Source organism: Homo sapiens, chromosome 3 (assembly GCF_000001405.40).
Source record: "Homo sapiens chromosome 3, GRCh38.p14 Primary Assembly".
Lineage (NCBI taxonomy): Eukaryota > Metazoa > Chordata > Mammalia > Primates > Hominidae > Homo > Homo sapiens.
The window spans coordinates 99,706,982-99,728,876 of NC_000003.12; the positions used below are offsets into that span (position 1 = coordinate 99,706,982).

The following is a 21,895-nucleotide window of genomic DNA, read 5'->3' on the forward strand; positions in this document are numbered from 1 at the left end:
AAGGATCTGGATCAACTTACAATGATACAAATAACATAGTAAGATAAAATAGATGAAAAATAAGTAAAGAAGATGAGTTAAATTGGAACTAAGGACAGAAAAGTGAAATGCAGTATGGTGAAGAGGATACCCTGAATATGTATGAAGACATGCTGTTGTGAGACGGAGTTGTGAAACAGAGGCCACAGGTAAGGCCCCGGTCTCTCTAGCAGGCCCTGTGATAAGGGAAACATGTTCAATTATCAAAAGACACACAGTAAATTAACCCACTTCTCACCACCATTGCTGACACACTAAGAGGGTAGAGCTTCACTGGTCTGAGAAAAGATGCAGTACAGCACTTTCTGAGCTGAATAACCAGGCTCTCAAGCCCTCAGAGGGCACCAGGTGTTGGTTTGAACTCACATCCAACTAAAGAGCTGTCTGCTTCATGTTAGTGGTAAAACCAAGGAGCTTCAAACCCTCAGTTAGCTAACTATTGTCCTCCTTGCTTCTGCCTGTAACTAGCCATCACTCCCGAGGGAGTGCAGGTGTTCAACTCTCCCTGACAAGCATGGCAGGTGTGTTTAGGAAAAGGTCACTGGGCTGTCCCTTGCGTCCTCTTGATTTTGGTCCCTATTCGCTAGGTAAGAGTTTAGGGAAGACAGAGGATCTACATGATTGGGCCCACGCCCTGCCGAACTTGGGGCACTTCCAGAGACAAAACTGCAGAAAGTGCCATCTAGTAACAAACACATAAAATAAATAAAACAAGTAAGAAAAGTAATAAGATTAAAAACCTGCTAGTCTCTGTCCATGTATATATGTTTAATAAAATAATAGTTAACCTTAATTGAGCACTATGTGCAGATACTGCTCTAAGAGCCTTACATTTCATTCAAGTAATCCCACCAATAACCCCATGAGACAGATAGTGTTTTTATTATTATTATTATTTATTTTTTGCAGAGGCAGGGAGAGGTTAGGTGACCGCTTCAAAATCACACAGCCACTAAGTGGGACAGTTAGGATTTTGACCTAAAAGTCTTACTCCAGAGCTCCCCTCTTAGCTGTGAACTCCATCCAGCACCTTCTTTGCCTCATCCTTCACCCTTCAACAACACACATTCCAGAGACTACTGTGTCTGATTTCTTTTTTCTTTGGTTTAGCATGATTTCCCCTCCATTTGAAAAAAATTAAGGGAAAATCACAGAGTGTTTATGGTGCTACCCCTACATCATCCTCAACCACTTCTCAAAGACGTCACTGCTTATGTGGTGAGCAGGCATCCAAGGGTGCATGCACTGAATTCTGTCATAGAACTGGAAACTGAAGAAGATGCCAGATGCCTCAAGACAGACTGTGGTCAGAGACATAACTCAGGGGGAGTGCCTGTCCCTAATTCCTCATTTCTCCTTCATTGTTGGGTCTCCATTCCTCTTTGCTCCACATCAAAAGCTAAGACACTCACTTCTCTAACTTGGCCCATTGGCTTGCCTTGCCAGAAAATCACCAGCTTGAATCATTCTGATGATAAAACCTTCCACCCGAGGCTGGAGCCCACTTCCTCCGCCCTTCTTTGATCTCTGAAGAATTTTTCTTTTTCGGAAAAACCATACTGGCAAGCACACCAAACTCCTTCACATACTTGAGATTTTACAGTGGCTTTCTTGGAACCCTGTTGTATTTTACATGTTAGTTGATCTCTGCTGGATAGGGCCCCACAAGGACCTGTTGACACCTCACAGCAGAATTTCACAAAATGTTCTAGGGAGAGATAATTTTCTAATTATAACACCAAATTTTGCTTATAAAGGCATTTTCCAACCACTTCATTTCCAGTAGTGGGAATAGTCTGAGGGTGAAATTAGACCCGGGGTGCATACTTTTCTTTCTTTCTATTTTTTTCTTTCCTTTTTGGTATTAGGAAGTATTTCCTGGAAAACTAGGCCTTGCTTTCCAAATGCTCACCTGAGAATGCAACCCTAAATGTTACCTTCCTTAGACTAACCCCTGGAAGCAACAACACCAAGGCTCTGCCCCTGGACAAGCAGGCTTAACACCCCCACCCCCGCCCCGACCAAGGAATGTAGTCTACCCTTCTGGCCATCTTGGCCCTTTTTGCTCTTTCTGTCTGCCTAGACATCTTGTCCTCCAACCACCAGTTAGAAACACAACTACTTCTCATCCTTTCGACCTTTTTCACTCTCAAGGCAGCCTTCCCTGACCCACTATATCAGTGTTCCCCAAATGTGGCCTGTGGACCACCCATATCAGAATTACCCAGGGCCTAGGGACCTGAATTTTAACAAACTCCCATGAAATTCATATACACATGAAAGTTGGAGAACGTCTGCTCTATACTGAGTTCAGTCTCACACTCCACCCTTCCATAGTCCCTGTCTAACCCTGCATCATACTGGTAATGACCTTTTTAATGTCTATCTTCTACATCAGAACATAAACTCTCTCAGTACAGGGACATAGTTGGGTTTTCAAAGCTTGGCAGTCTCTGGCTTACAGTTGGTGCTCAATAAATATTTATTGACCCAAATTACAGCAAATAAATTTTGCAGAGCTATTTTTTAAAAGAAATCCTGTGTTTCAGGAACTAATCTCACTCCACTTTTTAAAGAAGGCAATAAAGCAATCAAAAGATGTTTCTATGAGGAATTTAACCAAAAACTAGTACCCACAGAATGTCACATGCCTCTCCATATTGAATCTGACTCCATATCTATTTGGTTTGACCTGTGTGATCACATCAATGTTGTGAATAGCAACAGAGGCATTATCAGTGATTAAAATTAATTTCTTCCCAGAAGATGAGTGTTATGGTGTAATGTTTTTTGAAATGTTTTTAAGAACAAAGCTTAAGATGCAAAGAATTTTCCTATCAAGATACAGCTAAAGAGAGATAGTGACGCATAAGGAAATTCCTTTTAAGAGCCAACTCCCTTCTTCTCATGTGTGAGGAGAACCTAGCTATCAGGCTATTTATTTTGTTGGAGGGGACAGGGGAATCTCAGAATTATACTTGCTATTTAAATAGCCAGTATAAATTTTTTAAACCATACACTCATTCAAATGCCATTTAACTCTGCATTTCATCAAGAGTATGCATGCATGTATGTGTGCATGTGCACACACATTTAACACTAAAAAGGCTGTATCGCTGAAATAAAATTCTGAGTTATATGTTAAACTAGAAGAAGATGACCTGGAAATCCCAGAGCAGAGCAGCAACACTGTCATCCATGGAACTGGGATATTTCCCAGACTTTTGCCTGCGCTACTCACCAAATATTCTCTTTGCCCCACCCACAAAGGAAATGGCATCATGGGGAGGAACAGGTTGTGACACAGCAAAAATCACAGGGCATAGAAAATAAGCCCACTCCACTATCTCCGTCCCCTCCAAGCACCAATAGGAGGATTTAATACAGAAAAATAATAAAGTTATGTATATTTTAAGGAATGTCAGTTATGTCCAAATAAAAGGGACATTGTTAAACTAAGCTAAGTTGCCAGTGGCCCATAAGCAAAATTCCAAATAACATTTAATGAACCAAAGCTGTGGAAATTCGAGCATAAAGAAAGAGGTTTTTCACAAACCTTCCATGAGTTTAATCCACTTGGTCAGCTACTGTCAGGAGGAGCAGCCAGTCTGTTGGCTGTGAATAATAATGTTTGTGCCAGGCACAGGTGTGCTAACATGTGGACCAGGCATGTGTGTTATTAATATTATTATCATTATTCCTATTTTATAGATGAGACAGGGTTAGAGACATTAAATCACTAGCCCACATTCACACAAATGGCTAAGTGGTAAAGTTAACATCCAAAATCAGATTATATGAGTCCCAGGTCAATGCTCCCTGCACTATTAAGAATCTGGAAACTTCTGCTTAAAATCATAATATCTTGAAGAAGTAGGTAAATGTGAGGTAGAAAAAATATATACTTTATTTTCTTGATGGAAGTTCTGGCTCCACTCCAGGGCCTTACCCAAAGGTGATGAAATCCACCATTTTGGAACTCTTAATGGGTACCAAAAGGCAAATATGTTCTCAAACTATAAATGGTGGAGGAGAGGGTCTTGAAAAAACTATCACTATAGGCAATTTATTGTGACAATTCCAAGACTATTTTCTAAATTATTTTTTTCAATTGCAAATCTTCACAGTGGTCAGTCCTGCTTTTCACCTCATTACCTCACATATGAAATCACTTCCTTTTCTGGTTTAGAAGTAAGAAGACAATTTGAAAGCCTCAGACTTGAAGAAACAACAAACAAGAGAAAGCCCCCCAAAAGGTGATCGTTATTCAGTAGTTACATAAAAAGGGAATTGAACTAGAGTCTGAAAACACAGGGAAAGTAAGTCACTAATAGAAACAAATGTAATAGTCACCATATGATTAATTGTTTTGTTTTCAGCCTTCTGAAAACCCTTTCTTTTCTCTTCTCAAAACCCATTCTCGCCTTTCTTTTTCAAAACTCCTGGGATTCTTTTGCACATCTGCAAAACCAATGTCAGTTCCAGGTTCCTATTCTGGTGTTGAACCAATCTGGCCTCCAGCCTTGGAAAACGAAGCCAGTTCTCACCAGACAAACAAATGGAAGTGACCTAATACCTGGGGGATGTGGGAGTGGGGCCTCGACTGATAAATGGCAAAGGATTTCAGGCCTATCTGGTCCTCAGACCATTGACAAACAGAATCACATCACGGCTTAGCAGCAAATTGATGCAATCATAGGAAAAAGGTGAATTTTACTTTGAGAGTAGAGAGAGAGTATATGGGATACAGAGAATTATAAGGTCAAACTAAGTAGTTGTATTCTTTTTAACAGAATGATTTTATAAAAATAGTCAGCAACATAGGGATAATATTTTCTACCTCTCTATCTTCCTAATGATGATTTATGTCTATCAAACCAAGGCTGGTGGGGGAAAAAAAGCATTTTGATGCTATCAGTAAATAGAAGTAATACTCTTGGTTTGTGACTTTCTTTCCACTAATAAAAATACTTGAGCCTTTCAGGGTTTTGTTGACCTCTATTAAATTCAGGTAAACTTGGAAGTGAGCAAAACAGAAAACCTGTAGTTCTTGGAAAGCAATAAAGTCATACTTTGAAATTGAAAGGTTTTAAAAGGTTAGAAGAGAATGCATTTGGGGCCATTTGTGGCAGAAACCAAAATCAGGTGTTATTATCCTCACCAACAACCATGAAAAGAAACTTAGTTATTTGTGACGGTTCAAGTGGTACTTTCTTTGAGGAAAAAGATTCCAAACAATTCCTGGAAACTCTACCTCTCTAAGAAGATGGCATTTTTGTGAATTGAGGATAAAGGCATCAGCAACATATGGAGTACATTTCCCTTTATAAAACTGATTTGTTTAAAATTGAGGGGAAAACCGCTTGGCAAGGCATGTTGGCCAAGCCAATGGCAAAAAGTCATTTCAGTTTATTGTGATTCTTTTCCATAGTCCACCTCCCAGCCTGTCGGACATCCGGGCTCATGATTTATAGGCCCTGAATTGAAAACCAAAGGCAGCTGAGGATGCCTAACAAATATGACTTTCTCTTGGCATATGAAACACAACATTTCCTTTTCTGCCCCATATCTGCAGAGATGATGGCATAAAAGGAAACAGCTAAAGATTTTCCAGAAACAAGGTGAATTTGAAAAAGCCTCAGAAGTGGCTGTTTTTTGAAGGATTACTTAGTCTAAGGAAGAAATCCCAGAACTGAGAATTAGACAGACATGGAAGCTTTCCAAAAGTGGAGTGACTTATCACCCTGGCTTGCCCAGGTCTCTCCTTGTTTTATTGCTGAACGTCTTGCATCCCTGGAAACCCCTCAGTTTCAGGCAAACTGGGAAAATTGAGCCATAAAGGCAACTGAAGTCTATAACAGACTTGAGATGCCTTTCTTTCTCTACATTTCTCTTTTTCTCTACATTTGAGCCAGAAAGTCGTCTCAAGTCTTTTATAGACTCAAAAGTAGAGAAAGGAAGGTTTTCACAAAGTTGAGAACAGTTTGTGCAATGTGAGCAAGGTGGAAAAGAGTAACAAAAATTCTGATAATAGTAGCTAATATTCATGTAGTCCTTGATTTGTGTCAGGCCTCTGCTGTGTGCTTTACAAACATTATCTCAGTTAATCCTGATTACAGTCCTGAGAGTTACTTCTTCTTATTGTCCCCAGTTTACAGATAAGGAGGCTGAGGAACAGAGAAATTCAAGTAACTTGCCCAAGTTCACACAAGTAGTAAAGATAAAGCCAGAGTTAATGTCATGAAGTACATTGAACTTAACCAAGAACAACCCCTTCAATCTTCCACCACTTAGTCTTCTCATGCCCCACGTGCAGTCTCTTTAAATTTTAAGATGGAATTAGAACAGGACATAGTCTTATTTTTGCTACCCCAAGAACTTGCTAGATGCCAGATGCTCCCTCAAGCAACAGATTAAGAAAAAGAGAAACCAGTAAAGCTCACACTTGTTAAATGGCAATTGGTTTAGCACCTCCTAAAACAGAATCCACGAGCTTCTATGGAATAAAGCTACAAACTCTTACAGCAAGGTTACTTGAAACCTGCATCAGTAAGACGTTCAGTGCCTTCCCTCTAAAGCATTCTTTCAACCGTTGATCCTGGGCATTGGGCAACCTCTGGTGAGCTAAGCACCTTGCCAGACGGCTGTCATGAGCCCTGTTTAATCCTTCTCTCAAGGAGCAGTGGTATTGTTTCAATAAAGTTGCCACTGTAATTGCTTGGCTTACCGTTTAAGAGTATTATAAGTTCTGGGAATGGATTTGTGAAAAAAAAAATACAATTAAAACAAATTTTAACAGTGTTCTATTGAGTATGTAGTTGCACAAGAGGAGCCAACTTGCCCCAGGCTGGCCACTGGAGGATTTATCTTATAGAAGAAGCTGTTTTACTTAATCTGGTTTCCTATATAAAAACAGAATGCCAGGAGCCTGTGGCTCTGATGAGAGGGGAGGAGAAAAAGACATTATGGTTGTATCTCCAGGTTAACACTTAAAAATCAAGGCAAATGAAAAACACAACCAACCCGGGAGTTTAACCATAGATGCACTTGGATGACAAATTCAGACTTCCATGTTTTAAATGAGAGCCCCTGACATAGCTCTCCCTGGACGTGTCTAAAAACACATGTATTTATGATTAGTGGGCCAGAGTCCACCACCACACAATTGTGGCTGTAATGCAAGTAGCTCTATCTTTTTTGTATTCAGACCATCTGTTTTCAACTTAGTGCTGTACTGGACTTCCTAAAACCTGACCTACCTCAACGTCATGACCAGAGATTACATTCTATTTTCCCCAAGGGTGCCCTCCACTATGAAAGAAAAGCATAAGCATTTGGACAGGCTGGCTGGAAGGCAGCAATTTCTGAAGCCTATCCCATAAAGTTCCCAGATTCTCAAGGAAACAAGTGACTCATGGAGCTCTTGATTTAGGTAGCTAGTGCTTCCACAGTGTTAACAGAAGAATGATGAAATGGAATCTATCTGAGAAACTGACCTTTGTTCTGGGGCTATTACAACTTAAATATACTCTGCATCCTACTGGCCACCTGTGAGCAGCTCCCTTTATGTTCATTGACAATAGTCCCAGGGACCTGTTTCCATCCATTTATCCATCATTCATTTATCCATCCATTCTTCATTCATTCAACAAATATTTAAGCCATGATCTTAGGCTCTGGGAATAAAGTAAAGTACAAGGCAGGCAAAATTCCTTATCTAAAAGTGCTCACACTCTAGTGGAAAGACAGATATTGAATAAGAAAACAAATAAATAAAATTTTTCAGATGACGAGTGCCATAAAGAATAAACAGAGGTGTGCCATAGAGGGAGAAGGAACCACTTTACATAGGGAAAGCCCCTCTGAGGAAATAACACTTTAGCTATTTTATTTAGGAATAATTTAAAAAATTGAAAGAATAATATTCTAAACCAAAGGCATTGTAAATGCGAAGTCCTTAGGGAGCAATAAGCTTGGTGTGTTTCGGGAATAGCAAGGTCTTTGTGGTTGTAGGAAAACAAGCACAGTATAGTCAGGTTATGATGGAGTTGGAGATTCACATAGGACGTCTAGCCTAAGGGAACTTTGTGTGTCATTCTAAAACCACCAAAATGTCATTGAAAGATTTGAGGGAAGAGAGGTGACATGATCTGATGTATAATTGTAATGAATCTATATGGCTGCTGGGTGGAGAGTGAGAGGTCAGGAGGGAGGCAGGATACAAGAGTGGTCACAGGAAGAACATTTAAGAGACTGTTGCAGTAAACAAATGAGAAATGATGGTGGCTTGGACTATTAGTGAAGACAGTAAGAGGTGAATATATTAGGGATTTGTTTTAAAGATAGAGCTGACAGGTCTTACAGACCGTTCAGATGTGAGAAACAAGGGAAAGAGGAGAATGAAGAATGATTTGAAGTACTGGGCTTTTGCCCTTGGGTAGGTTGTAGTGCTCTTTCCTGAGACTGGCTCCCCATGAATAACCCTAATCCAGAGAGGTAGAATGAGTTAACTGTTCTCCATTTTATCCATGTTGTCCTGAGAAGCAGGAGGCTCTTTATGTATCAGAACTTGTACCTGTAATGACAGTTCCCAACCTCCCAATCCTTTTTTCTGCATTTATCTCAGAACAAGCAAAAATTTGTTGGAGCCGGAGCTACATAAGCTGTCAGCAAAGAAAGAATAATTTTTTTTCTAGAATATAAAAACATGAGAGAACAAGCAAAGACATGGCTTTTTATTTTGCAGTCCTCCCCTCGAAATGAATGATTTTATTGCATCACTCGCAAGTGGGAATACTAAAGTGGGGTTGGGGTAAAGTCTTGAAGTGTTTACTCTCTAGACCATTCTGCAAAGACTAGTGGACTCCTGGAGATGACTCTGAACACTCTATTGGATTTCCCTATTTCATGGAGTCTGTGACAGAGAATTAAAAGGTCTTACGCCTTCACTCTGGGCTATTATTTCTCAGAATGCCTTTATTACAATAAGTATATTTTACAGTGGTATAACCCTTTTCGTCCAAAGGTAGAAGAATTTGCAATCAGCAAACTGATTGCTATGTGATACACATTTGAGTCCAAATTAAAACTTGGTGCACCACATCTCAGTTTGCCATACTCCATCATACACAAGTGGGTAATTACAGGGCCAGAATTAACCAGGAGAGTACAGAGTAATAGTCATTTTAGTAGAATTATTTACTAAAACTTGTTGATGCATGAACATAACGCAAAAGATTCTCTTGAGCAATCTAATTCTCACATTGGTGGGGTAGCACTTTTTTATCTGAATTCTTACAGCCTATGAAACCTCACCCATCAGACCAGCATCTTAAACATCGAGGCAGTTGCACTGGAAAAAAATACTTGTAAGACAAGCATTCCATCAGAATGATTAGCACCAAAATGCAAATTCATTGACTACCTGAAGATAATACATAGATTCATTTAATAATATTGACAGTGAAATTTTTATATGCATGTTCTAAAATGTGCTACAAAAAGGAAGCTTATTAAATAATAAGAATTTCAATCAGCATAGTCTGTCAACAATTCCAAACAAAATCAAAACCCAGACAGAAAACGTAGTAGGTGTCCTTCCTGTTACATCGGATGACTCATGATCCCCCTCCTCAAAAGCCCTATTAGTGACACAAGCCACAATTACAGCTAACCCTCAGCACTTCTTTGCATGACACTTGAACTGAGGAAAAAAGTATTTTTCTAACCCTTTGGTGCTGAATATTTGACCCTAAAGCTTGCTGTTTGCTCCTTTTTTGTCTCAATCCTCATGACTACAAATGCTATTATTAGTCATAAGGTTGTTCAGTCCCGTTTAAATTCCAGCCATGGCATTTGACTCTCTGGCCTAAACATAATAGGGAACTCAAAATCCTAATTATTTCCAAGGGGTCTAATTCTTCAGCATTCACTTTGAATTTTCCCAGCTTCATATGGAATCAAGGCCTGTGTTAAATGTTAGCAATGTTATACCTCTGAATTCTTCACTGAGCATGGAGACAATGCTTCCTATCAAAAAGTGCATAAGTTTGTATATGGGCAGTCCTGGAACCGAATCTCAGTCTTGCCACTGATAAGTTAAGTGAATTTAAGAAAGTCGTAATATCTCTGTTTTGTGCTATATATAGAAGATAATATTTATATGAGGGGTTATTATATGACATATATTTTATGTAAAATTATTGGCACAAAATAGGCATTTAGTAAATAACAAATATTACTCATTATATCATCAGCAACACCACCACAAATTTATGTAAAGTAACTAACAAAGCACCATTTTCCCTTTCAGCCTATGCTTGGCAGGGCGTATTTTAGCCTTAAAATCTTTGATCTGATGTTTGGAGTGTTCATGGCCCTTCAAAGACACGACACATCCAACACACCACTTAGAATAATCTAAGAGAATCTAGGCTGTTAGTTGAGTTTAGTCTGAAAATCTAGTTACATGATAAAAGATTATATAGGTTCAAAAATGCAAAATAAATCATTAAATCACAAATCTTAACTGCTCAGAGTGCCACTAGAAATAAAATGGTCGAAACTTATTTCTAGATGTTGAAAACTGAGCCCTCACCGAATTAAGTAGCTTTTACAAGGTCATGCAACTTAGTAATGAGCTAACATCAGACTGAGCCCAAACCCCAATTAGGTATATAACTTAAAACCTCTCTTACTCTAGTGATGGCTCTTATTTTTTTAACTAATGATGATCTTTCAGAGACCTTGACTTGCCCAAACTAGGGCTGTAGATAAAGTTGGAGCTACATTTTTTGTTGTCATGGAATTGCTCAATTCAGATACTCTCTGAGGGCTCATCCAGCTCTAAATATTTTATTATTGTTCTTCTTGCTATTCAAGGTTACCCTTTACATGGACACATATTGTTCATCAGTCTCTAAAATGTTTTTTGTCTTCTAAACAGACAAGGGTCTTTGCAATCTCACAAACGTCCATTCCATTGCCAAATTTTTCCCCAAATGCACAATAATCTCCCTCTGTTTATCCAATTCCCATTCACTCTGCAAGACCCAGCTTCCCATCTCCTCCATAATATCTTCCCTCACTTTTCTGGCCTTAATCAAATTCCCTTTCTTCTGAGCACCTGTAGTCCCCAAGACTAGTCCACACAATTGAGAACACAGTAGTCCACTGTGTATGATGTTATCCCTATTATTTCTTGTGCACATCTTATCTTCCCAATTAGATGATGGCCCCTTGAAGACAAGTACCATGGCTTAGGCTTACCAAATTGTTGTGGAGCAGAACATTGTGATGAATGAGCTCAGAGTAGGTATTCAAGTAATACTCAGTTGATTAGGCAGGGGGGCCAGAGAGGAGAACAAACATTTTCTTGTTTCTCCAACCATTCTTAGTTAAGTTCTGGGAATCCTCAATGCTAATACAAAAACTGAAAACTGGCAAGTTTGATTGAGGTTTTGAACTAATTAGAACTAATTAGAGAGGGCAGGGAAGGACAGAAGATAGGCTACTTCTAATCCCATCCTACAATCCTTTCTTTGAAATGTAGAGGAAATCCACTTGAAACTGCCCAAGTGACTGATAGTTGTTTCTAAATGAGATTTCTACTTCTGCAGCATTGATTTCTGGCACTAAGTCCTGTCCTTAGAAGTTAACCTTTTTTCTGGGGTAAGAAAAGCTTTACTGAATCCATGTGATGAAAGATAAATGATATGGAATGTTATGAGCCAAAATTAGTTTAAAAAAATAAAATTCAGTTGCATACTTACGTGTACCAGAATGCCACAGCATCATTATACAAGGAAGTGGCATTGGGAACATCTTAGGAAAAGATTTCATATTCCAGCTTCATCTTATTTAGCATGAATTTATTGAGTGCCTCATGACAGTAACAATCATGAAGATGATAATAATAGAATATTAAATATTGAACAAAAATAATAAAAACGTTAAGAGTCCAGGTTCAAATGTTAAACACTCTGGGTTTGCATTCTGATTCTATAACTCTGTGTGGGCAAGTTACTTACCATTCCTGTGTCTCACTTTCCTTGTCTACTAAGTAGAGATATTAATAGCACTAGCTCAGAGATTTGTTGTAAGGATTAAACTGAGAAATATGTGAAAAAATATTTAAATAAGTATCTAGCACATAGTAGACATTCAGTAATATTAGCTTTTGATCATTACTATTATTATTATCATTAAAGACTTAAAAAGACTCTCCATAGTTCAGGCTCTGTGCTGGGCAACTTATATATGCATATTTTTAGCAGATACAAATATTTTTTACAATTTGTGTGTGTTCACTAATATATTTCAACCAAAAGGAGTTCCTAGCCCATAGTAGGCACTCAGAAAATAACTGTTGAATGAATAAGAAATTTCATTTACTCCTCACAACAGCCTTAAAATGTAACAGGCACTCAGAATATAACAGTGAGCAAGACAGAGTCCTAATTTTCAGGTCTGGTGTGATAAATCAACAGGCAATTCCTGTCCAGAGTGATTGCTCTGCTAAGGTAGTACAGGGCTTTTGGGAGCAGATATGAGAAACACTTAATCCGAACTCAAGGGAACAGGTAAGACTTTCTGGAGGAAATGACATCCAGGCTGAAATGTGAAGCATGAGTAAGTGTTAGCCAGGCAAATCAGAGGTAACAATGTATGGCAAATCCAGAAGTTAAGAAAGTATGGTGACTTCATTTAAATGAATGTAGTTCTGTATAGATGAAGTGAGAGGTGAAGAGAGGAGAAAAGAAGATGTAGATGTCAGTAGGACTATGAGTACAGTACTGGGGACCTGGACTTAGATTCTAACAGCAGTGAGGCAATGTAAATTATTTAAGTGAGTGAGTGACATGGGCTTCGGAATGATCACTCTGGTCATTTCTTCCATTTCAGTGGACTCCCAGAATTCTAACACTTGCCTTGAGCTAGATCAACTTTGGTATTCATTTGCATATTGGTAAATTTTTTAGTCCACATTACTAGAATTATAGTCATTTATGGTTTTGAGACACAGACCCATCTTTGTGGCAGTGGTCTCTAAGACCAAAACTATCCTGAACCTTATGAACCCATACTCTGTGGGTAGGCAGTTCTTATCAAAAGTAGATCCAATTAGATCTGTTAATTGTGTCATAGAATTTCTCAAAATTTCTCACTTGGCTACCTTCCCAACACCATATTATGACTGAACTAGTAGATCTCTCTCTGCTAAGGTTAGAGCAAAGAAGGAGAGTTAACTTTTTGCGCATTGGCTGACCCAGCCTCAGAACATTTTATATTATTTTCTAATATTGAATGACAGATGGAAAATTTTCAGGGAAGGAGGTAGGTGGTAAGATAGATATGGAACAAAAAAGTTCCAGATTCCTATAGACCTTTCATTTAATATGTTATTGTATCAATATTTAATGTATATTAAATAACAATATATTACCATGGGTAACTTCCTATATGGTTAGAATTCTGCCAATCTGAATTTTTCTTTCTCAGAATTCAAGGCGATAACATTATAAAAATAATAGTTATAGATCCTCAATAGGATATTTCAAGGGAATTACATTCACCAAAAGGCAGCCTTTCATATAAACATATCATGCAAGCTGACATAAACACCTAAGTGAACCTAAATGAAAACAATGTTTTCTATTGCTCTGAGCTCTGTGTGAATTGGCTCATCATAGCAAAATGAGCTTCTTAGTGGTCAGTGCATTGAGAAAATGGAAGAACTGTCATGTATTCAAAAACCAGAACCAAGTACTGGATTAGAGATTAAGAAAAGACAATCTTTGGTTTTGGAATCAAAAGTGGGGAAGAATTAATTTAAAGCAAGATTTTAGAAGGATGGTGAGGAGTTTCTGAGAACTAAAGTGAATGGGAGGAAAGACCTTCATAGTGATCCCCTTACCCTCACTTTTCCCTCAGTGCTTTGTTGATTTCAGTGTGGCGAGTAGAAACGGAGAATGGGCCAAAGAAGACAGGTGAACCAAAGGAAAGAAGGGGAGGAAAAGATGAAAGGGCTGATGGAGAGCATTCTCCAAGCCACTCAGAATTTGGGGAGTACCACTACAGATAGTGAAGCACAAAAGAGCAAACATGCCATCCCCTTTGCTCACTGCCAACTCCAGCACGAAGTTGGGCGACTGCCAGGCAGGCACTCCCAGTCGTCAAAAAGTGCAAATGTTACTCAGGGAACAATTAATGTGAGTTGTGTAATGTAATATGGGTCAAAAACATGAAAAGACGTTTAAAATGTCAGCGGATGGCTCAGCACACCCATCAGCCAGCCAGAGAGCAGAACACCTGTTTTGCACTCAGTGGCACAGAAGCCACAATTTAGACAAAAAAAAAAAAAAAGAAAGGAAAGGAAAAAGGAAAAGGGGAAAGGGGAAAGGGAAAGGGAAAGGGGAAGGGGAAGGGGAAGGGAAGGACAGGGAAGGGAAGGGAGGGGAAGGGAAGCCTGGATGGTCAGGGCTGAGAGAGAGAGGAGACAGGGACCCTGGGGATGCCCACAGGAGGCCAAAGGAAACGGCTGGAAACCCGGACAGATTTGTTGTTTGAGGCAGAAAATAAAATGCTTATACAGTTGTAATAGAAGAAGAATGGCTTAAATTTTATAACAATTATTCATCCTATTTTGATATCTGGAGTATAATTAAATTCAAACTTCCTTTGTTTAATTAGCCATTAGGTTTGATGAAGTACATTTTCAAGTCAAGCAGAAAATGACTTTAAAGAAAGGTATGTCTGCAAGTGAAAGGGCAGAGGAAAGTCAGGCTGATATGTGAAAAAACAAAAGGACGGAAGAGTCTATCTGCCTTTATTATAGAACCCCTGAGAAGATTGCAGCACTGGGTTTTTTTTTTTATGCGGGTGGTGATGTGGCTAACTGTGATGTGCCCTTTTCTGCTTAATTCAAAGTTCAGCAAAAGTTTAAAAGGAAATGAAGTGAAAATTGATACTCAATAGATAATCACAGGAGAAAAAGATCAACATGTTGCTGCTGTGGACTTTTTTCAATGCTATGAACTTTTTTCAATGCCCTACTTTTGAGGATTCTTTTGATCATATAATTTTTTTATTCCCTAGTACTTAAGTTTTTGAAATAAAGGAATTACCTGCTAAAGGGAATTCTCCGTGTCATATTTTCAAAAGGCTCATTTTGTTACCATGTGCTTTAAAAGATTCCAGGACATGAAAGACAGGAAACACATCCATGTGAATAAGAGAGGTTGAGAATTACAGACTCCTTTCCAGTGGCATAAAATCTCTTTAATAAAAACTCTTATATATGATATCAATGGCCTTGCAAAGACATTTAGGCAATAATAAACTGCAAAGTGATTTAGCATGTGCAAAAACCCACCAAGCTGTAAACTTACACCCTTTGACATTAATCTGTCATATAAGCAGGAGTAGGTACCTGACAAGACTTATATTAAAATATGTAAGTTATGCCTCAGTAAAACAATTGAAAATTAATTTAGAAGTTCTCGCTTGAGAAATCAGTGATAATGTGACACACATTGACCATTGTGGGTAAAATTAAAAGAAAATAGCTGCTCTTTTTGGCCAAAGGAATACTTAGAACATATTCATAGAATTGTTGAGTATTAAAGGTGAATAAAACCTAACTTTTTTGTCCATCTCTTCATTTTATAGTTGCAAAACAAGGCATTCCTCTCATCATGATATCTAGAGGTAATGTTCTTGCCCGAAGTGTTAAGAGCTAGGAAGTGACCATCACTATCTTGAGACTATCGTCCACCCATTCCAAGGAAGCATAAACTATAAATTCCAACATTCTTATAGACTATTATGATTTAATAAATAACGTCGATTGGAACTAGAGAAACAGAACACATTTACCTGTTAATATTTGTAGAATAAACCTCATGAAATTACTTATGGAAACACAATTTTAAGGGATCTGTAGTGGGTTATCTTATCTTGAGAAAAAAATCAGAGACCAAAGTTGTGTGTGTGTGTGTGTGTGTGTGTGTGTGTAATAAATAGATGACTTCTGAAATGAAGTCATATACATTCAGGAAGGAAGCCTAAGTTGTGTGTTTAGCAGATGTATTTTGAGAAATGCCTATTGGTGAGTAGTATTCTGCTCTCTAACAAGCAAAAAAGAGGAAATGAATTTAAATTAGAACCAAAGGAATTTAAGTTAGATGGAAAGATCTTATTGGCAGTGAAGATTTTATAAACCCTGGAAAAGATTCCTGGAGAGGTTTTCAAATTCTCTATCTGAATGTACTTAAAAGAAGAGAGATACCTATCGGCTCAGGGTGGTTGAGGTAGAGACCTGCCTGGAAGTTGCTTTCAGCTGAATTCTCTGCAAGTCCAGATTAGTTCCTGACAATGCTCAGGATGTCAAAGACTGTAAATGCTAGACAGTGGCAAGCAATATTGCCCCTTAAAACAAAAACAAAAACAAAACTCACCAAAGTAATCATTTCCTTGGAAAGTTAATTGGCATATGGTAGTTGGTTATAAGTGAAATGTTCAATTGTAATACATTCTTGTTTTATTTTCTTTTTAGCCTAGTTTCCAATGGAAAGAAGCCTTATGAAATTTCTCTGGCAGGCTATGCCCTGCTTACTACAATTTTTATTTTCCTTCTGTCAGTTGGTTACAAGCAAATCTCTTAGAAAAACCTAAACCTAAGTAGCAATACATGTACCCTCTGAGTAAATTCCTCTGAAGGAAATACCCTCTCCCTTAACTCCAAAGGAAAACTTTCTCTCCTAATTGAAAGGAGCAGAATGATTATCCCAACACCATCAGCCCTCTTCTTCCTTACCTTCACAGAGTCCACACAAATTCTCTTCATCTTGCAGAATTATTTCTTCTCATTTCCAACCCACAAACAGCATATACACTAACAGTTCATACCAAAATTCACTAATTTGCTGTACTTCTCTGCTTATACAGCTGTGTGTCTGTTTACCCCATTGTGTTTGCCACAACTATTGTTTGGTTTTTATTGCAAGCTCCTGAAGGTGAAGGATGGAGTCTGTTTGACTTGCTTTGCACGACACTGTGTGTACATGCAGGTGGACACCATGTGACCGTCCTTGACAATAATGGTTTCTGACATGACTGGATGCTCAAAAAATAATCCCATGGATTAGCTAAAGTTGGAGAGAGAGGACTCAGTTTGCAGAATCTGTGTCATTGGTTGGTCCTCCTATATGTCACATACCAAGGTGATAACTGTCTGTCAGGAGTCATCAGGGCAGTGAGCACTGTGGACAAGGGCCCAATCAGCAGCTAGAAAATCTAAGTCTAGCCTAAAATGCACAGAAATCAAAACTGCATTTATTTGCATGCTTTCCTTTCACCATGACCCGTCCTTCTCTTGTGTATAAATCCAGTCTTGCTGGAGTTCTCAGCTCAGAGCAGTCTGCCATTGCCCATTGCCATACCAGGCTGTTAAATCTCAGACACACCCTGGAAGACTATCAAGTTCACAGTAACTTGTTTTTCTTATTTCTTTGTGTTTATAGTCTAGAGGGAACAGAACTCATTTTTACAAAGATTAATATTTCTTCTTTCCCACCAATTCCCACACAACCCCTTCCAACCTTCCTTTACATCAGTCTTCCTCACTGACCCAAGAAGACAGAGATAAGTCAATCCACATTTCTTAGTTAGGTTAAAAAATTCCAATGCTTTTTCATATCTAGGGTCTTCAAAGTTAGGTTTTCAGAGAACAAAATGATTGATGAAAACCTGTTTCTCACAGAAAGCACAGGAAATGACATTTCATTTAATTCAACAAATATTTTCTAGGCACCAATTATGAGCCACTCACTGTGTATTGGGGAAAGAAAAGGGAACAAAACATAGACTCTGGCTTCATATAATATATTTGGAGGTGTATGTGTCTATGTGTGTGTAATAGTCAATTTAAGATTTTATTACGTGATCTTAAATATAATAAGATTGCTTTATTTTGGATTGTGGTAAGGATTAAATGATGTATAATATAGTTAAAGTATACTTGACACAGAGCCTGGCATGTAAGACATCCTCAATAAACAACAGCTGTTACTATTACTGAAAGAGGCTTAATTTAGAGCAATTCTGGGGGGAGTGCTCTCTCTGGAAATCAAATTTTACCTTGGATTAAGGGCAATGTATTTTGATTGTTATGGGAAGAAGAGGAATCATCCAAGAGTTGGATTCTCACCGAACTCTCCCTGGACAGCAGGACATTGCTGAGTTCACCCACTGCCATAAGAAAGTTCTTCTCTTAGCTTCTTTTAAACGTCTGTTTGAAAACTTTTCTTACTGTAAAATGTTACATTTCCTGAAAGAAGCAGCACATCATAAAGTGTTTTGGCACAGAGCTCATTCTACCTGCTCATCTTTTTTTTTAATTTTATTATTATATACTTTAAGTTTTAGGGTACATGTGCACAATGTGCAGGTTTGTTACATATGTATACATGTGCCATGTTGGTGTGCTGCACCCATTAACTTGTCATTTAGCATTAGGTATATCGCCTAATGCTATCCCTCCCCCCTCCCCCCACCCTACAACAGTCCCAAGACTGTGATGTTCCCCTTCCTGTGTCCATGTGTTCTCATCGTTCAATTCCCACCTATAAGTGAGAACATGTGGTGTTTGGTTTCTTTCCTTGCAATAGTTTGCTGAGAATGATGCTTTCCAGTTTCATCCATGTCCCTACAAAGGACATGAACTCATCATTTTTTATGGCTGCATACTATTCCATGGTGCATATGTGCAACATTTTCTTAATCCAGTCTATCATTGTTGGACATTTGGGTTGGTTCCAAGTCTTTGCTATTGTGAATAGTGCCGCAATAAACATACGTGTGCATATGTCTTTATAGCAGCATGATTTATAATCCTTTGGGTATATACCCAGTAATGGGATGGCTGGGTCAAATGGTATTTCTATTTCTAGATCCTTGAGGAATCGCCACACTAACTTCCACAGTTGTTGAACTAGTTTACAGTCTCACCAGCAATGTAAAAGTGTTCCTATTTCTCCACATCCTCTCCAGTACCTGTTGTTTTCTGACTTTTTAATGATTGCCATTCTAACTGGTGTGAGATGGTATCTCATTGTGGTTTTGATTTGCATTTCTCTGATGGCCAGTGATGATGAGTACTTTTTCATGTGTTTTTTGGCTGCATAAATGTCTTCTTTTGAGAAGTATCTGTTCGTATCCTGCACCCACTTTTTGATGGGGTTGTTCTTTTCTTGTAAATTTGTTTGAGTTCATTGTAGATTCTGGATATTAGCCCTTTGTCATATGAGTAGGTTGTGAAAATTTTCTCCCATTTTGTAGGCTACCTGTTCACTCTGATGGTAGTTTCTTTTGCTGTGCAGAAGCTCTTTAGTTTAATTAGATCCCATTTGTCAATTTTGGCTTTTGTTGCCATTGCTTTTGATGTTTTAGACATGAAGTCCTTGCCCATGCCTATGTCCTGAATGGTATTGCCTAGGTTTTCTTCTAGGGTTTTAATGGTTTTAGGTCTAACGTTTAAGTCTTTAATGCATCTTGAATTGATTTTTGTATAAGGTGTAAGGAAGGGATCCAGTTTCAGCTTTCTACCTATGGCTATCCAGTTTTCCCAGCACCATTTATTAAATAGGGAATCCTTTCCCCATTGCTTGTTTTTCTCAGGTTTGTCAAAGATCAGATAGTTGTAGATATGCGGCGTTATTTCTGAGGGCTCTGTTCTGTTCCATTGATCTATATCTCTGTTTTGGTACCAGTACCATGTTGTTTTGGTTACTGTAGCCTTGTAGTATAGTTTGAAGTCAGGTAGTGTGATGCCTCCAGCTTTGTTCTTTTGGCTTAGGATTGACTTGGCGATGCGGGCTCTTTTTTGGTTCCACATGAATTTTAAAGTAGTTTTTTTCAAATTCTGTAAAGAAAGTCATTGGTAGCTTTATAGGGATGGCATTGAATCTTTAAATTACCTTGGGCAGTATGGCCATTTTCATGATATTGATTCTTCCTACCCATGAGCATGGAATGTTCTTCCATTTCTTTGTATCCTCTTTTATTTCATTGAGCAGTGGTTTGTAGTTCTCCTTGAAGAGGTCCTTCACTTCCCTTGTCAGTTGAATTCCTAGGTATTTTATTCTCTTTGAAGCAATTGTGAATGGGAGTTCACTCATGATTTGGCTCTCTGTTTGTCTGTTATTGGTGTATAAGAATGCTTGTGATTTTTGCACATTGATTTTGTATCCTGAGACTTTGCTGAAGTTGCCTATCAGCTTAAGGAGATTTTGGGCTGAGACGATGGGCTTTTCTAGATATACAGTCATGTCATCTGCAAACAGGGACAATTTGACTTCCTCTTTTCCTAATTGAATACCCTTTATTTCCTTCTCCTGCCTAATTGCCCTGGCCAGAACTTCCAACAGTATGTTGAATAGGAGTGGTGATTCTTGAATTAATTTTTGTATAAGGTGTAAGGAAGGGATCCAGTTTCAGCTTTCTACATATGGCTAGCCAGTTTTCCCAGCACCATTTATTAAATAGGGAATCCTTTCCCCATTGCTTGTTTTTTGTCAGGTTTGTCAAAGATCAGATGGTTGTAGATATGCGGCATTATTTCTGAGGCTAACGTCATCCTGATACCAAAGCCTGGCAGAGACACAACAAAAAAAGAGAATTTTAGACCAATATCCTTGATGAACATTGATGCAAAAATCCTCAATAAAATACTGGCAAACCGAATCCAGCAGCACATCCAAAAGCTTATCCACCATGATCAAATGGGCTTCATCCCTGGGATGCAAGGCTGGTTCAACATACACAAATCAATAAATGTAATCCAGCATATAAACAGAACCAAAGAAAAAAACCACATGATTATCTCAATAGATGCAGAAAAGGCCTTTGACAAAATTCAACAACCCTTCATGCTAAAAACTCTCAATAAATTAGGTATTGATGGGACATATTTCAAAATAATAAGAGCTATCTATGACAAACCCACAGCCAATGTCATACTGAATGGGCAAAAACTGGAAGCATTCCCTTTGAAAACTGGCACAAGACAGGGATACCCTCTCTCACCACTCCTATTCAACGTAGTGTTGGAAGTTCTGGCCAGGGCAATTAGGCAGGAGAAGGAATTAAAGGGTATTCAATTAGGAAAAGAGGAAGTCAAATTGTCCCTGTTTGCAGATGACATGATTGTATATCTAGAAAACCCCATTGTCTCAGCCCAAAATCTCCTTAAGCTGATAAGCAACTTCAGCAAAGTCTCAGGATCTACCTGCTCGTTCTACCAAGATTCTAGAGCATTTCAGAACCTGGATCATATCCCAAACACACACAGCACATATTTTTCTCCTTCCTGCTTCCTCCTACCATGGTCTAGATTATGGTTGTTCTGCAGGGCAAGTGACTACCAAAATACACTTGAAATTTTTCACATTTATTTTAAAGTTACATAAAATGATTTTACAGAGCATCATTTTAATGATTTAGCTCTTACTGAATACATATCAACAATTAATCTTAAACAGGAATAATACAACTTTTAACCTCAGGAAAAACTAAGTCAAATTGTAGTCACCCAGTGAATTTCTTTTTTAAACTTGCCCAATACAAATGGCTTCACTGGCCATCTTAGCTTACCTATAGTATTTAATTAATCAATTATTCAATTAATTAATTGTATGGTTAAATATATGAATGGATCATCATGTAAATGTCAAGATAATTGAATACAAGTATCTCATAATATTATTAGCCCAAGCAAAGGAATCCACTTACTTCACTCTTTTTGGTTCAATTTAAGATTTGCTCTATACTCTCAAATATCTGGATAAGTAAAAGAAGA

The 21,895-nt window shown here is 38.3% G+C and overlaps 1 protein-coding gene across 2 annotated transcripts in view, besides 1 other annotated feature; it reads left to right on the top strand.

The window, feature by feature from the left end:
* Positions 1-21,895, top strand: part of COL8A1 (collagen type VIII alpha 1 chain) — a 160,624-nt gene that overhangs the window by 68,388 nt on the left and 70,341 nt on the right. The window lies entirely within an intron of this gene.
* Positions 7,204-7,498: a silencer, noted in NCBI's record as "tiled region #15587; HepG2 Repressive non-DNase unmatched - State 24:Quies". NCBI's record gives its function as "represses a minimal TATA promoter and a strong SV40 promoter by Sharpr-MPRA in HepG2 cells {active_cell/tissue: HepG2}" and the evidence as "EXISTENCE:reporter gene assay evidence [ECO:0000049][PMID:27701403]".